The 15,534-nt window shown below is 42.7% G+C and overlaps 2 protein-coding genes across 36 annotated transcripts in view, besides 2 other annotated features; one reads left to right on the plus strand and one right to left on the minus strand.

Moving 5' to 3' along the window:
- The window catches only part of INTS14 (integrator complex subunit 14), a 32,375-nt gene extending 24,950 nt beyond the window's left edge, over positions 1-7,425 (minus strand). The window contains exons 1-3 of one of the 10 annotated variants that reach the window (NM_001207058.4): positions 7,392-7,425; positions 3,596-3,719; positions 1,423-1,526 (exon numbers count right to left, since the gene is read on the minus strand). In NM_001207058.4, the coding sequence (NP_001193987.2) occupies positions 1,423-1,526; positions 3,596-3,674 (183 nt within the window). In that variant the 5' untranslated portion in view covers positions 3,675-3,719; positions 7,392-7,425. Of the gene's footprint in view, positions 1-1,422; positions 1,531-3,452; positions 3,737-6,979 lie in introns of all 10 variants that reach the window. The other 9 variants (NM_001366360.3, NM_001136043.4, NM_001394796.1 and 6 more) reach the window with 9 other exon arrangements.
- Positions 7,343-7,502: an enhancer, noted in NCBI's record as "active region_9602". NCBI's record gives its function as "activates an Ori minimal core promoter by ATAC-STARR-seq in GM12878 lymphoblastoid cells {active_cell/tissue: GM12878}" and the evidence as "EXISTENCE:reporter gene assay evidence [ECO:0000049][PMID:35858748]".
- The window catches only part of SLC24A1 (solute carrier family 24 member 1), a 49,653-nt gene continuing 41,762 nt past the window's right edge, over positions 7,644-15,534 (plus strand). For 18 of the 26 annotated variants that reach the window (XR_007064494.1, XM_047433330.1, XM_011522222.4 and 15 more), the window contains exons 1-2: positions 8,874-8,907; positions 15,174-15,274. The gene's annotated coding sequence lies outside the window, so the exon portion shown is untranslated. Of the gene's footprint in view, positions 8,908-15,173; positions 15,275-15,534 lie in introns of all 26 variants that reach the window. The other 8 variants (XM_024450105.2, XM_047433325.1, NM_001301033.2 and 5 more) reach the window with 7 other exon arrangements.
- Positions 14,723-15,308: an enhancer, noted in NCBI's record as "OCT4-NANOG hESC enhancer chr15:65910767-65911352 (GRCh37/hg19 assembly coordinates)". NCBI's record gives its function as "activates a minimal SCP1, AML or CMV promoter by ChIP-STARR-seq in naive H9 embryonic stem cells {active_cell/tissue: H9 hESC(naive)}" and the evidence as "EXISTENCE:reporter gene assay evidence [ECO:0000049][PMID:30033119]".

The raw sequence follows: 15,534 nt of genomic DNA on the forward strand, positions 1-15,534 counted from the left end.
ACCAGGGTCCAGCCAACCATGGCCCACAGGCTAAATTTGGCCCACTGTCTGTTTTTGTAAATAAAGTTTTATTTAAACACAGCCCTACCCATTCATTTACTTATTATCTATGGCTGCTTTCATGCTATAACAGCAGAGCTGAGTAGTTGCCACAGACACCTACAAAGCCTAAAATACAAAAAAACTTGCGGACTCCTGTTGTAGACTATTATGATTTTTCTTTTAGCAATGTTTCTGCTTTTTCCTTCAAAATATGCTACTACTTTTCAAAAGTATCTGTATAGAACAAATTTCCAGTTATCTTTTTCTGCTACTACTCTGCTCTGATTTGATACTAATGTGGCCTACTGTGGAGTCTAAGTAAAGAGCAACAGACTTTATGTTTGTTTGTTTTTGCCACACAGTCTCGCTCTGTCGCTAGGCTGGAGTGCAGTGGCGCAATCTCGGCTGACTGCAACCTCTGCCTCCCACGTTCAAGTGATTCTCCCGCCTCAGCCTCCAGAGTAGCTGGGACTACAGGTGCACACCACCACACCCAGCTAATTTTTGTATTTTTAGTAGAGATGGGGGTTTCACCATGTTGGCCAGGATGGTCTCGATCTCTTGACCTGGTGATCCGTCCACCTCAGCCTCCCAAACTGCTGGGATTATAGGCATGAGCCACCGCGCCTGGCTAGATTTTATGTTTTATACTCCTCACTTTTTAGACAACTCAGTTGAGATGGTTAAGTTTGCTGAATAAAGCTGGGCACAGTGGCTCACCCCTGTAATCCCAACACTTTGGGAGACGAGGTGGGCGGATCGCCTGAGCCAGGAGTTTGAGACCAACCTGGGCAATATGGCAAAACCTGGTCTCTACAAAAAATGTAAAAAATTAGCCAGGTATGGTGGCATTTGCCTGTAGTCTCAGCTACTCAGGAGGACGAAGTGGGAGAATCACCTGAGCCTCGGTGGTTGAAGCTACAGTGAGCCATAATAGCTCCACTGCACTCCAGCCTGGGCAACAAAGTGAGACCCTGTCTCCAAAAAAAAAAAAAAAAAAAAGTCTGCTGAATAATTGCATTGAGATAATGAAGACAGGCTATATTATACTGATGTTTACAATTTTATCACTCAAAATTATAATGACCCCTTCCAGGGATTGTAGTTCAAAAATTCCACTGTGAGCCCTTTGTGTTTTATATAACAGTACTAGTTTGCAATAAGTCAATTTACTAGGAGGATGCTTTCCTTAAGGCATAACTTTGCTGCTTTCTGAACACATTAGTGTTGATTTAGTACCTTCACTTAAGAAGATACCAATAGTGTAAAATGTAGTTTGTAGAAATTACAATGCATGCTGTGTCAGAGCCTGAAGAAAATCGAAGCACCTCAGTGGTTAATGTTGTTAACTTAGGGCAATGAAAAAGAATTGATCATTACCTGGCAAGGAATTGCACCACCCCATTCTTGCTGAACGATATTGCAAACACCAACTAATGCAGACTCCAAGCAGGTTTTGTCATAATCATCCATATTACTTAGTGCTTCCTTATTGAATAAAAGATAAAATTGCTAGTTACTCTTTAGTTTTAATTAGGTATTAGAAAACAACATAAATTGTTCAAAGTATGAATGTTACACAGGGGACACTGATGTATCTGAGAGCACCAAAGCATAGCTTCTTAAAGAAAAATGCTAGAACAGACTTCTTCAACTATTAAAGATAGTTAAAAGAATTCCATTTATTCTATCCTCTTATCAGGTAAGAGTGAACAGTCCACCAAGTTTACATTTTTGTTAAGTGGACTTTGAAGGAAAAAATTAAAAGGAACTTTTAAACACATCACAAAAATAATAACAAAATCTATTGAATATTAACTATGTTCTAAACACCATCCTAGGCACTTTTATGCATTTAGCTATCACAATAAAACTATAAGGTATAGATTATTAACCCTATCTTTAAATGAAGTAATTAAGGTATAGAAAGATTAAATAACTTTCCCAGGTCTCATGACTAAGGTGGCAGAACCTGGATTTGTAAGTATGCAGTCTGACTTCAGGGCTCCTGGTCTAAAACATTACGTCTCACTCCTTATATAGCAATTCTCTAAATTTCAGAACTGCAGAACATCAGAAATCCTTAGTTTATTCACCTGTAAGAAAGTCAGCATATATACCAAAAGTTTAATATCCTTTTACAGGAAAAGAAATTTAAAAAAAATTTTTTAAGTCACTAATTTTTTTAAAAAAAGCTTTTAAGTCACTTAAAAAATCTGAGATAAGGCCGGGCGCGGTGGCTCACGCCTGTAATCCCAGCACTTTGGGACGCCGAGGCGGGCGGATCATGAGGTCAGGAGATCGAGACCATCCTGGCTAACACGGTGAAACCCCGTCTCTACTAAAAATACAAAAAATTAGCCGGGCGAGGTGGCGGGCGCCTGTACTCCCAGCTATTCGGAAGGCTGAGGCAGGAGAATGGCGTGAACCCGGGGGGCGGAGCCTGCAGTGAGCCGAGATCGCGCCACTGCACTCCAGCCTGGGCGACAGCGAGACTCCGTCTCAAAAAAAAAAAAAAAAAAAATCTGAGATAATAAAAGGAATTATTTAACAAAATTTTGTTACTTACATTAAAAAATTCAAACTCTATTGATCTTGTATTTCTAAACCACCTAACAATTGTTAAAACTGTTCAGTTTAATTCCACAAATGCTTCTTCTTTTTTTTTTTCCTTCTTTTTATTAAAAATAGAGACGGGATCTTGCCATGTTGTCCAGGCTGGTCTCAAACTCCTGGGCTCAAGTGATCCTCTCGCCTTGGCTTCCCAAAGTGCTGGGATTACAGGCGTGAGCCACCACACCTGGCCCACAAACACTTCTTGACTGCTCACTATGGGTAAGACACTGTGTTAGGCACTGCTGGAAATATTATGAATATTATGATTTAGAGATGTTGTCAGAAAGTAAATTCTAACATAACACAGAAAACACCTTTGAAAGATAATATCTACCAACTGAGATTTAAAAATTATAATTTATTGGTATCAAAATCAAAGCTATTTGTTGGAAAGGAAATATCATTTTGAATTACTCTAGAATAAGAAAGGGCTATTTTTTCATTTCCTCAAGTTTTATGGGAGAGTAGAAAAAAATTAAGTGTTGAGCCTAAAGATCCTAAATTTTAGGGAATGGAACACTACATCCTGAGATGCTCACTTTTCCACAGAGAATTCCAGAAAACCAAGAGAGGAAAATAAGGGAACAACTCACAGCTGTAACTCATAGCTGTACCGAAGAAACAGTAGGCATAAGACCTACTGGTTGTGAATTCTTGCTGTTTAGTTACACATATTAAGTACTCATAGACTTATTAAATAATGCCAAAGTTCTAAATATTCAACGCATTATAACACTGTTTTCCTCCCAATAAATTTAGGCCCTGTACATACAATAACTTACTACATTTTGTACCTGTAGGGTATTATAATCTCTCGTGAAGGGGACCATCAACTCCCAAAGTGATGAAAAAACCACAAGTGCTGTAAATTCAAGCTTGTAATTTGTGGCCATGTGCTCAAACAGCATCGTTAAACCATGGGCTGCTAGGTGCTTACGCTGGTATTCCTCGGACCCCTCAATAGACACAGGTCGGGTCATGGAAAGGGATACATCCATTACCACCACTGTCGGCATGATGAAAATGATCCCAGTGTTCCCAATCAGAATGCAAACAGACAGCTATAAACGAAGAAATGCTGCAGAAAATAAATACGTTCTTACATGTCATGGAGAGAAAATAATATTTTTCACCATAACTTTAACTAACTTCTCAGAAATTAGCAGAGGCAAACACCATTTAAGTTGAGGTGAGGAATAATCTGTAGAGAACTCAGTGAGAGGGAAGTGAGCAGCTTAGTTCATTGTAAGGACCACTCTTAGAATCACCCATTAAGTGACCATAAATCAAGGACCATCTAAATATATCTACTGGAAAAAAAAAAGCCCTGCTAAATTCAGGTAGCCCTTAACTTTCACACATTCGACTTTTATGCAACTTAATAAACTCCCACATCTCCTAACACTTAATTTACTGAAGAACATTTCTAGTTGTCATATGTTGGTGCTATTTGACAAACAACCATTGTTTTTTGGCACTGTCACAACCTTTTTGCAGTATTACTGCATGTGTTTAATTATTTTGTTGGTTGGTGCTCTTGTTTTAGTAAAATGAATGCCAAATATAAAAATGAAAGGACTAGTAAAGTCATAAACCAAATTAGACAAATTGGAAATCATTACACATAACAAAAGTAATAAACTGTCAGCCTCAGTAGTATTCATTGTACATAAACTGGCCAATGGTGCTTCAACTGTGAAGGAAAAGAACAAAATTAAAGAATATGTAAGGTCGGGCACAGTGGCTCATGCCTGTAATCCCAACACTTTGAGAGGCCCAGGTGGGCGGATCTCTTGAGGTCAGGAGTTCGAGACCAGCCTGGCCAATATGGTGAAACCCTGTCTCTACTAAAAATACAAAAATCAGCCAGGCATGGTGGCTACTTGGGAGGCTGAGGCACGAAGATCCCTTGAACACAGGAGGTGGAAGTTGTAGTGAGCCGAGATCGTGCCACTGCACTCCAGCCTTCCAGCCTGGGTGACAGACGAAGGCTCCATCTCAAAAAAAAAAAAAAAAAAAAAAAAATTTATACAGCTGGAATTATCTCATGAAATTGGGTAGAAAAGTCAAAATGTACAAATGGAGTTATTCAAAATTATGGATTGAGAATTAGCATAAAGAAAACATTTTGGTGCTCAAAAATAAAAAAGTTTACAGATACACAGACCTGCTCATGGGTATATAGCCTGCTGCTACTCTATTATTAAGCAAACTGTAGGCTACTGACATGATGAAATATCATAAAACTATAAATAAATGACATATGTACTACAGATATCAGAAATACTTATAGAAAGCATTAGTAACTGAGAAAAGCAGGCCCCAGAACTGTATTATACACTGCTTACAACTTCATAAAAATCATAATGCAAATATACAATTAGAGAGATTAGGTGGATATAAACAGGTTAGAAATTTAATGTTCACAACTTTCTTTTTTGGGATTAACTTCAAAACATTTAACAGTAGCCAGATTACTTGTTTAAGGATGGTGCCCAGCTGCAAATGTGTCATATTCTAAAATTCCATTTGTTCTTTTTTGTTTTTGAGACGGAGTCTTGCGACATCTGTCGCCCAGGCTGGAGTGCAGTGGCGCGATCTCCGCTCACTGCAAGCACCGCCTCCCGGGTTCACGCCATTCTCCTGCCTCAGCCTCCCGAGTAGCCGGGACTACAGGCGCGAGTAGCCAGGACTACAGGCGCGTGTCACCACACTCGGCTAATTTTTGTATTTTTAGTAGAGATGGGGTTTCACCACATTGGCCAGGCTGGTCTCGAACTTCTGACCTCGACATTGGCCAGGCTGGTCTCGAACTTCTGACCTCGTGATCCACCTGCCTCTGCCTCCCAAAGTGCTGGGATTACAGGCGTGAGCCACCGCGCCCAGCCAAAATTCCATTTGTAAGTAGGCTGTTTCGAACTCAGAATACACTGGTTCATGGAAACAATGTTTACAACTCAGGTTGTAAGCATAGGCGTAAAAGAAGAAACTGAAAGTTCCTGAAGGATGGTTCACTCAAGCAGTATAGGCCCGACTGAAAAAAAAAAAGTGAGGTCCTGCACAATATTGGTTCAACTACACTATATTAGACCATAACATACGCTCACTAAGGGCAGGGACCATGCCACATTTTGCCCATGATGTCTCCTCAAAACTTATCACAGTAACTGGCACATAGTAGGTGCCCAACAATTTGATAACAACTGATGAACTACCCCTAAATCACCAGATATACCATATATTATTTAGCAAAATACATTATAAATGTTAACTCTGGACACCAGAAACACATTTCCTCTTCTCCTCATTCAAGCAGACATATGGGGGACTCCCTCACGTCTGCCCAGCTCCTGTGGTAGTCCCATTCATGCAGGGAGGCCTTTTTACAAGTTGAGGATCATGAGGAGTACTGCCCTCACCTCTTAGGAGAATGGGAGGAAACAGTTTACACAGACTTAGATCAAATACAAAAAAGCACTTTCAGCCCGTGAAATCTGCTGTTGACAGTGATGACAGCTGGCAGTCTTGCCTTCTCTGAAGACACCTCTGGAGCTGGCTCTTTCTCCCAAGTGATGCATTTGTGTCGACTCCCAAATGCACCTCATTAACAGTTACAAAGTCGTGGGAGATCAATTTAGTACTCAGGTTGGAGTAAAGGAGGGAACTGAAAGTTCCTGAAGGATAGTTCACTCAAGCAGTATAGGCCTGATTAAAAAAAAAAAAGGCCAGGCACGCCTTTAATCCCAGCACTTTGGGAGGCTGAGGCGGGCAGATCACCCGAGGTCAGGAGTTCGAGACCAGTCTGACCAACATGGTGAAACCCCATCTCTACTAAAAATACAAAAATTAGCCAGATGTGGTGGCGTGCGCCTGTGGTTCTAGTACTTGGGAGGCTGAAATAGGAGAATTGCTTGAACCCAGGAGGCAGAGGTTGCAGTGAGCCGAGATCGCGCCACTGCTCTTCAGCCTGGGCGACAGAGCGAGACTCCGTCTTGGGTGGGGGGGAATCCCTGCCCACCACAGTCTACCAATTTTGTGAGCACAACACTATGTATTCCTCACTTGGGTGGATTCTGAGCCCCCAAGTCTCCCACCCCCACCCCCTTCCCACGTGTACTGTTCAAACAACTAGGGCTCTTCTTTCTCAGGAACAGTCTGAGAAATAGGCCCTAGCCACCTATTTGGCCTTGAATACCAAGTGTCCATCAGCTAGACGTTTGTAATTCTTCCCTGAAGGTGATAATTAGCTCATTCATAAAGAACTGATTCTCAGCAGTCTCGCTCTCAAAGCAGGATTCTACCTGAATTTCTAGTGCCTCACCTGCTCTTTGGCTTTCCCGTCAGCCTCCGGGAGTCCCTCCCCAGTTCTCAGATATAATTTCATCTCTAAAAGTCCAGACTGAAAATCACATCTGGGAGATGTATTTTTACCTTAAAAATCAGTCAAGAAAATGTGGGATCTGGAAGTCTCTCTTGGAAAGAGGGGGCAGAGGGGAGCTGAGCAGAGGGCGAAATCGTGCAGTTTACGCGGAGCTGGGGACCCCGAGCCTCAGAGCGAGGGGAGGCCGGGAGCAGCGCCCCGGAACTGGCGCCTCACAGACAGCGCGGGGCGGCCGCCACGGTGGCGGGAAGGCCAAGCGCTGGCCCTGGGTTGTTCTTCACCCATAACCCCTTCACCTGTAACCCCAACAAGCAGCGAAAGGCAGTCCCGGGCCCTCGGCCTCCCCACTCACCCCGTGCCCATCGCCGGACACAGTCCGTCGGCATAAACTTTCCGTCGGCATAAACTTTCCGTCCGCGCGCCACAGCCGGAACTATAAGGCCGCGCGACAGAAGGGAATCCGGCGCCTGCACTCCGCGCTGGGCGGGGCGGTCCTTGGAGAGCTTCAGGGTCGCCCGGGCAGGGTTCTGGCTCATCCCGGAGGGACGCTAGGGGGCGCGGCCTCTCTTCGCGATGGCCAATCCGCGGCCACCCCTCTCCTCCCACAAATCCCCAACTTCTCTCGAGCCTTGGCTGGGTTTCCTGCCGTGTCTCTCTGCATTGCCCTGAATCTCTCCCCATTCTCGGGCTCTTTCCTTCCCCTTCTGCCCCACTGACCCATGGGCCTCACCTGGCCCGGTGACTCTGTGTCCGCTTCACACTTTTGTCCCCTCACTCCCCTGGGCCCCGTCGGTGCACGAGCCCAACCCTTCCTGCTATTTTCCTCGTCACTCTTTAGCCCCCTCTCTCGTATCCTCTGAACCGGTTGACAGAATCCTCTTCCTGTTCTTTTTAAACTGCAATTCCTGAACTACAAATCCTGGCCGGGCGTGGTGGTTCAGGCCTGTAATCCCAGCACTTTGGGAGGCCAAGGTGGGCGGATCGCTTCAGGTCAGGAGTTTGAGACCAGCCTGGGAAACATGGTGAAACCCCGCTCTCTACTAAAATACAAAAATTAGCCGGGCATGGTAACGAGTGCCTGTAATCCCAGCTACTTGGGAGGCTAACGCACGAGAATCTTGGGGGGAAAAACCCCAAAACTGTAATTCCTGGCTGAGGTATGCTTTGTATATCCTTCTTAGCTGACCTGAGCCCAATTTACCTCAAGACTTGGCCTCTTGGTCTCCTCAGCCCAAATGCTCACTTTATTTCCCCTATCCCCTCTTTGAGGGAAGCAGAGGGCCCTCGTTCCTCTCACCCTGGACAAGGCATGCGTGCTCAGATTTCCCTGTAAGGCAACATGGGCTCTTGCCTGCCACTCTGGCCACCTGGTGTCTCCATTGTAGTCTGTGCCTCAGTGAGGTCCTTAAGAGGGCAAGAGGTGACTTTCTTTCTAACCATGTAGGGAGCCAGGGAATCCCAGCTAGAGATAGGCTTAGATGGATGCCAGCAGGCCCCTGGGTAGTTACGGTTCAAAGAACAATGTGGAACCACATAGGTTACAAAGTGAGTACAGAAAGGCCTCTAGAAGGCCTCAGGCATTTGCCTTTTTCTTTTAGCTGATAGGATGGGGCGAGATTAGGAGATGGGACGAGGAAGGAGGATGCTTTGAACTGAACAGACAAATCTGTCTGACTTCTCACAGCTTGTTATGTGGGAGATTGTGGGGCCAGTTGCTTGTAGTTTTTTCCTGTCCCTGGGAATATCCCTGCCAGCACTGGGGCCAGGGCCCTGCAGACTGCCCTATTTGCTTCAAAACTTCTTTCCCCAACCTGGCTGATCTCACCATGTCAAGACCTAGTTATGCTTGAGCAGGCATTGGGCTCCAGGTAAGTAAGGCTGCAGCCTGATAACTTAGTCATGATTTCTAATCTTGCCCTATTGGGAGGGATGTGGCCAAGAATGTGTGGGTAAGCAAGTGTCTAGTTACCCCTAATGTGACAACGACTTAGCCATAGGGTTACTGTCCTCGTGGTAATTCTGGCTCAGTTGCAGGGTCTGATTCATTACCTTACCCAACCCTAAAGCTTAAGTTAGTTCACTGATGGATGATCAAATCTTGTGACCTAGTTCTTCTGAATAACAGGCTTTGGGAGACTTGGAAAGCAAAAAATCAATATATTAAATTGATGATAAAAGGCACAGCTACCAGGAGGACTGTGTTACTTAGGGCAACTAGTTTGTTTGTTTGTTTTTCCTCCTTAGTGGAATCCCATTACAAATCAGAAGGTTGTTCAGTGACTATAACATCAGAGAACATCAGCACAAAGGTTAGAAGGTTTTAAAGGGGGTGTCTTTCAAGCCATCACTGGCTGATGAATTTCTTTTCCCCACTCAAACGACCCTCAGCATTTGCGTGTTTCCACACACACATTAAAGGAAATCAATAAATAGTTTCCTTTGCATAATCTCTCATTCCCTTTATTTTTTCCTGCCTTGAAACAGTGGACTGCTGTCCCAAAGGCTTTGAAAGGCAGTGTTTGATCCCCAGTCTGACAGAGGAAAGGTTTATGACAGAAAAACCATGGCTCTCACAGGGGCTAGGTACTGGGGAGCTCAAAGGGAAGTCTAGATATCTCAATCTCCCAGAGCACGTGTTGAAAATGCAGATTCCCAGACCTTGCCAAGTGAAATGGAAATGAAATTTCATGACTTCGTGCTTGAGAATCTTTGCTGTTAAGTTCCCAGGGTGATTTTGTGTGTGTGTGTGTGTGTGTGTGGTGACAGGGTCTTTGTCACCCAGGCTGGAGTGCAGTGGCATGGTCATGGCTTCTTGCAGCCTTGACTTCCTGAATTTAAGCAATCCCCCCCAACCTCAACCTCCCACGTAGCTGGGACTACAGGCATGTGCCACCATGCCTGGCTAATTTTTAAATTTTTTGTAGAGATGGGGGTCTCACTATGTTGCCCAGAGTGGTCTTGAACTCCTGATTTCAAGCGATCCTCCCTCCTTGGCCTCCCAAAGTGCCAGGATTACAGGCATGAGCCACTACATTTGGCCCCAAGATGATTTTTCATCTACAGAGATAAGGGATAGGGAATGAGTAAGTGAAGAAAAGGCTGAGGGGTGGGGGAAGAGCAGTGGGCCTACTTCTCTTTTGCATTCTTCCCGCTCTTCTCATACTCCCATGATGTCCTTTGCCCTGCATTTCCCTTTCTGCCCCTGTAGTCTGGAGACTGTTCACTCCCAAATCATACTTCCAAGCTCCAGCCCCTTCCTCTCATCATTACCTCCTCCCTATTTCACTATTTTCACCAAAGCAGAAGTCAATCATAAATATGACCCTTCTGTCTTCTGAAAAAAAATTTTATTATGGAAATTTTCAAACATAGACAAAGATAGGGAGATTAGGATAATAAATCCCTGTGTGCCCTTCACCCAGTTTCTGCTGTCAATGCAATCCTCATCTCGTTTCATGTACACCCCTACCGACTTCTCCCCACATATTATTTTGATGGAGATCCCTGATAGCATAACATTTTATCCAGGAATATTTCCTTATGTATCTTTAAAAGAGAACTTAAAAATATATAATTACAATACCATTATCAAATTTAACATAATTAACAATAAATCCCTAATATCATCAAATATCGAATCAGCTTTCAAATATTCAGTTGTGTCATAAATATCATAAATTTTACTTTTTTACACTTTGGTTATTTGAATCAGGATCCAAGTAAGATCCAGATATTGAAATCCGTTGCTATATCTCAGAAGTCTCTTTTAATCCACAGGTTTCCCCCTCTTTTCCTTCGAAATGTATTTGGAAAACTGTGCTCCCCCTCCTTTTAAAATTGCTCTCAATCCTCTTTCAGTTTTTTCCAGAGCATTTGAGAAAACCGCAAAGCTGCTCTCTATTTTAAATAATGAAAAGACTCACTGAACAAAGAAAAGCTTTACACATTTCCAATTCCAACTAACTTTGCCTCTGCTCTGAAAATAGGGTGAGCTTTATCCATCACTGGATCCCCCAGGGTCTGGCATGTGATGGTGGATATGCATTTGTGGAAAGAAGATAGGAGGGGAGTAAGAGAGGTTATTGGAAAAAAAAGTCAAAGAGGAAAGCAGAGAAAACTTGGTAGATACTACATTTCTCTAAGAAAGTAGAAAGGAACTTCTTTCTTCCATACACTCTTTCCTTTGAAAAGTGCTATAAAGGCCTAGAGTGGTGGCTCTCAGCTCTTCGGGAGGCGGAGGCAGGAGAATCGCTTGAGCCCAGCTGTTCGAGACTAGCCTGGGCAACATAGAAAGACCTTGTCTCTACAAAAATTAAAATTAACCAGGTGTGGTGGTGTGCACCTGTAATCCTAGCTACTCAGGAGGCTGAGGCAGGAGGATTGTTTGAGCCCAACAGTTCAAGGCTGCAGTGAGCTGTGATTGTGTCACTGCACTCCAGCCAGGACAAGATCTTATCTCTAAAAACAAACAAACAAACAAACAAACAAAATGCTATGAAGTCTAAATTTTTAAAGGCCCCTCATGATCTGGGCCCTGACCCAGGCTCACCACTCACTCTCTTAAAACCTTAGTGGCATCTTTCAATGAAAAAGAAGATAAAGCCAAATAAAACTAGTTTTTAAAAACTTATAAAAAGTAATTTGTGAGGCTGGGAGGCCGGGCACGGTGGCTCACGCCTGTAATTCCAGCACTTTGGGAGGCCGAGGTGGGTAGATCACTTGAGGTCAGGTGTTCGAGGCAAGCCTGACCAACATAGTGTAACCCTGTCTCTACTAAAAATACAAAAATTAGCCGGCTGTCATGGCGGGCACCTGTAGTCAGCTGCTTGGAAGGCTGAGGCATGAGAATCGCCTGAATCCGGGAGGTGGAGGTTGCAGTGAACCAACATCATGCCACTGCACTCCAGCCTGGGCAACACAGCAAGACCCTGTCTCAAAAAAAATAATAATTTGTGTCTATGGATAAAAATTCAAAGTTAATTTTAATTTTTTTTTAGTCATACTTTAAGTTCTAGGGTACATATGCACAACATGCAGGTTTGATACATACGTATGTATGTGCCATGTTGGTTTGCTGCACCCATTGACTCATCATTTACATTAGTTATTTCTCCTAATGCTATCCCTCCCCCACCCCCCCACCCCCCAACAGGCCCCAGTGTGTGATGTTCCCTGCCCTGTGTCCAAGTAATCTCATTGTTCAATTCCCACCTATCGGTGAGAACATGCAGTGTTTGGTTTTCTGTCCTTGAGATAGTTTGCTGAGAATCATGGTTTCCAGCTTCATCCATGTCCCTGCAAAGGACATAAACTCATCCTTTTTTATGGCTGCATAGTATTCCATGGTGTATATGTGCCACATTTTCTTAATCCAGTCTATCATTGATGGACATTTGGGTTGGTTCCAAGTCTTTGCTATTGTGAATAGTGCCACAATAAACATATGTGCACATGTGTCTTTATAGTAGCATGATTTATAATCCTTTGGGTATATATCCAGTAATGGAATTACTGGGTCAAATGGTATTTCTACTTCTAGATCCTTGAGGAATCACCACACTGTCTTCCACAATGGTTGAACTAATTTGCACTCCCACCAACAGTGTAAAAGCATTCCTATTTCTCCACATCCTCTCTAGCATCTGTTGTTTCCTGACTTTTTAATGATCGCCATTCTAACTGGCATGAGATGGTATCTCATTGTGGTTTTGATTTGCATTTCTCTGATGACCAGTGATGATGAGCATTTTTTCATGTGCCTCTTGGCTGCATAGATGTCTTCTTTTGAGAAGTGTCTATTCATATCCTTTGCCCAGTTTTTGTTGGGGTTGTTTTTTTCTTGTGAATTTGTTTGAGTTCTTTGTAGATTCTGGATATTAGCCCTTTGTCAGATGGGTAGATTGCAAAAATTTTCTCCCATTCTATAGGTTGCCTTTTCACTCTGATGGTAGTTTCTTTTGCTGTGCAGAAGCTCTTTAGTTTAATTAGATCCCATTTGTCTATTTTGGCTTTTGTTGCCATTGCTCTTGGTGTTTTAGTCATGAAGTCCTTGGCCATGCCTATGTCCTGAATGGTATTGCCTAGGTTTTCTTCTAGGGTTTTTATGGTTTTAGGTCTAACATTTAAGTCTTTAATCCATCTTGAATTAATTTTTGTATAAGGTGTAAGGAAGGGATCCAGTTTCAGCTTTCTACGTGTGGCTAGCCAGTTTCTGCAGCACCATTTATTAAATAGGGAATCCTTTCCCCATTTCTTGTTTTTCAGGTTTGTCAAAGATCAGATGGTTGTAGATGTGTGGTGTTATTTCTGAGGCCTCTGTTCTGTTCCGTTGGTCTATATATCTGTTTTGGTACCAGTACCATGCTGTTTTGGTTACTGTAGCCTTGTAGTATAGTTTGAAGTCAGGTGGCGTGATGCCTCCAGCTTTGTTCTTTTTGCTTAGGATTGATTGTCTTGGCAACGTGGGCTCTTTTTTGGTTCCATATGAACTTTAAAGTAGTTTTTTCCAATTCTGTGAAGAAAGTCATTGGTAGCTTGACGGGGATGGCATTGAATCTATAAATTACTTTGGGCAGTATGGCCATTTTCACGATATTGATTCTTCCTATCCGTGAGCATGGAATATTTTTCCATTTGTTTGTATCCTCTTTTATTTCGTTGAGCAGTGGTTTGTAGTTCTCCTTGAGGAGGTCCTTCACATCCCTTGTAAGTTGTATTCCTAGGTATTTTATTCTCTTTGTAGCAATTGTGAACGGGAGTTCACTCATGATTTGGCTCTGTTTGTCTGTTAATGGTGAATAGGAATGCTTGTGATTTTTGTACATTGATTTTGTATCCTGAGACTTTGCTGAAGTTGCTTATCAGCTTAAGGAGATTTTGGGCTGAGACAATGGGGTTTTCTAAATATACAATCATGTCATCTGCAAACAGGGACAATTTGACTTCCTCATTTCCTAATTGAATACCCTTTATTTCTTTGTCTTGCCTGATTGCAAGTGTTGGCCAGAACTTCCAACACTATGTTGAATAGGTGTGGTGAGAGAGGGCATCCTTGTGTTGTGCTGGTTTTCAAAGGGAATGCTTCCAGTTTTTGCCCATTCATTATGATATTGGCTGTGGGTTTGTTATAAATACTTCTTTTACTAGAGACAGGGTCTTGCTATGTTGCCCAGGATGGTCTTGAACTCCTAGTCTCAAGCAATCCTCCCTTCTCAGCCTCCCAAAGTGCTGGGATTACAGGAGTGCACCACTGCATCAGGCAAAATTCAAAGTTTCAAAATAGATGAAGTGAAAAATAAGCATTTGCTTTCCTAGAAGCAACCATACATATCTCCCTGCCTCAAGTATGATTCTAGCCACTGGGTTGGAGAAGTGAAATATCAGCATTGTTGTTTGTTTTTGTTTATTCTATATCTATTGGTGACAGAAGTATAGACATTCTTACATATGCTTTGCAAAATTGTCTCTACGTATGTATGTATATATGTGTATGTATATACATATTATATAGACTATATGATATAACATATATAATACTTTCTACCTAAATGCAATAATGTTATATATACTGTTCTGCATCTTGCTTTTATTGTTATTGATTTATTAATATATCTTGGTCATCACCTTCATTCCTTTTAACTGCTGTATATAATTGACTATTGTAAAGATGTGCCATTATCATTTATGTAATCAGTTTCCTATTGACATTTAGATTTCAGTTTTTGCTACTACAACCAAAGCTGGAAAGGGCCTGGTAGACTAATATAGGGGCTTTTTCTCCAATTGAGATGGGAAGCCACTGGAAATTCTGGCATATAGGAGGGACATTATCTGATTTACAGTTTAACAAGGTCACTTGGGCTGCTATACCCGATTTACACATCTTCACCGGTATCTTCGATGGCACTGGGTGTTATTTAAATTTCTTACTCTTTGTCAGCTTACAGGGAAAAAAAAGGTATCTTGCTGTGCCTCAATCATCATGCCTTTGTAAAGTCAGATTTGACTTGGGAGTTTTACTTGGTGGGCTGTTTCTCTTACTTTGACGGGTGTTGTGAATAGTGCTGGGACTGTGTGGTTTCCTGCTTGGCCACACTGAAGTCCTCTGAAATCACCTCTCTGACCTTTTCTGTAGGCCTCTGGCCGCTCCAGAAGGGCACTTGACTGTAAGGATGAAATCCTGTCTCTGAGCTGCACTCAGTGTGAAGTGCCACCACCTGCATCCCCCTGTCTCAGGTATGGTTCTAGCCACTGGCTTGGAAAGATGTGTCATAGGATGTTTGGGGACTTATTTTGTTGTTTTCCACCAGTGACAACTGTACAGCCATTTTTAATCCTATAAACAATATAATATGCACAAATAAAACAATATAAACAAAAGGTCTTAGGCCGTGACATTGTACAGGTTGGACAGATCAAAGTGCTTTTCCACAGATTCTCTCACTGTTACTCTAACAGCAGTTCCATAAGGAAGCTTGTCTTTCCTGGTTTCATAA

This window comes from Homo sapiens, chromosome 15 (genome assembly GCF_000001405.40).
Source record: "Homo sapiens chromosome 15, GRCh38.p14 Primary Assembly".
NCBI classification, from domain to species: domain Eukaryota; kingdom Metazoa; phylum Chordata; class Mammalia; order Primates; family Hominidae; genus Homo; species Homo sapiens.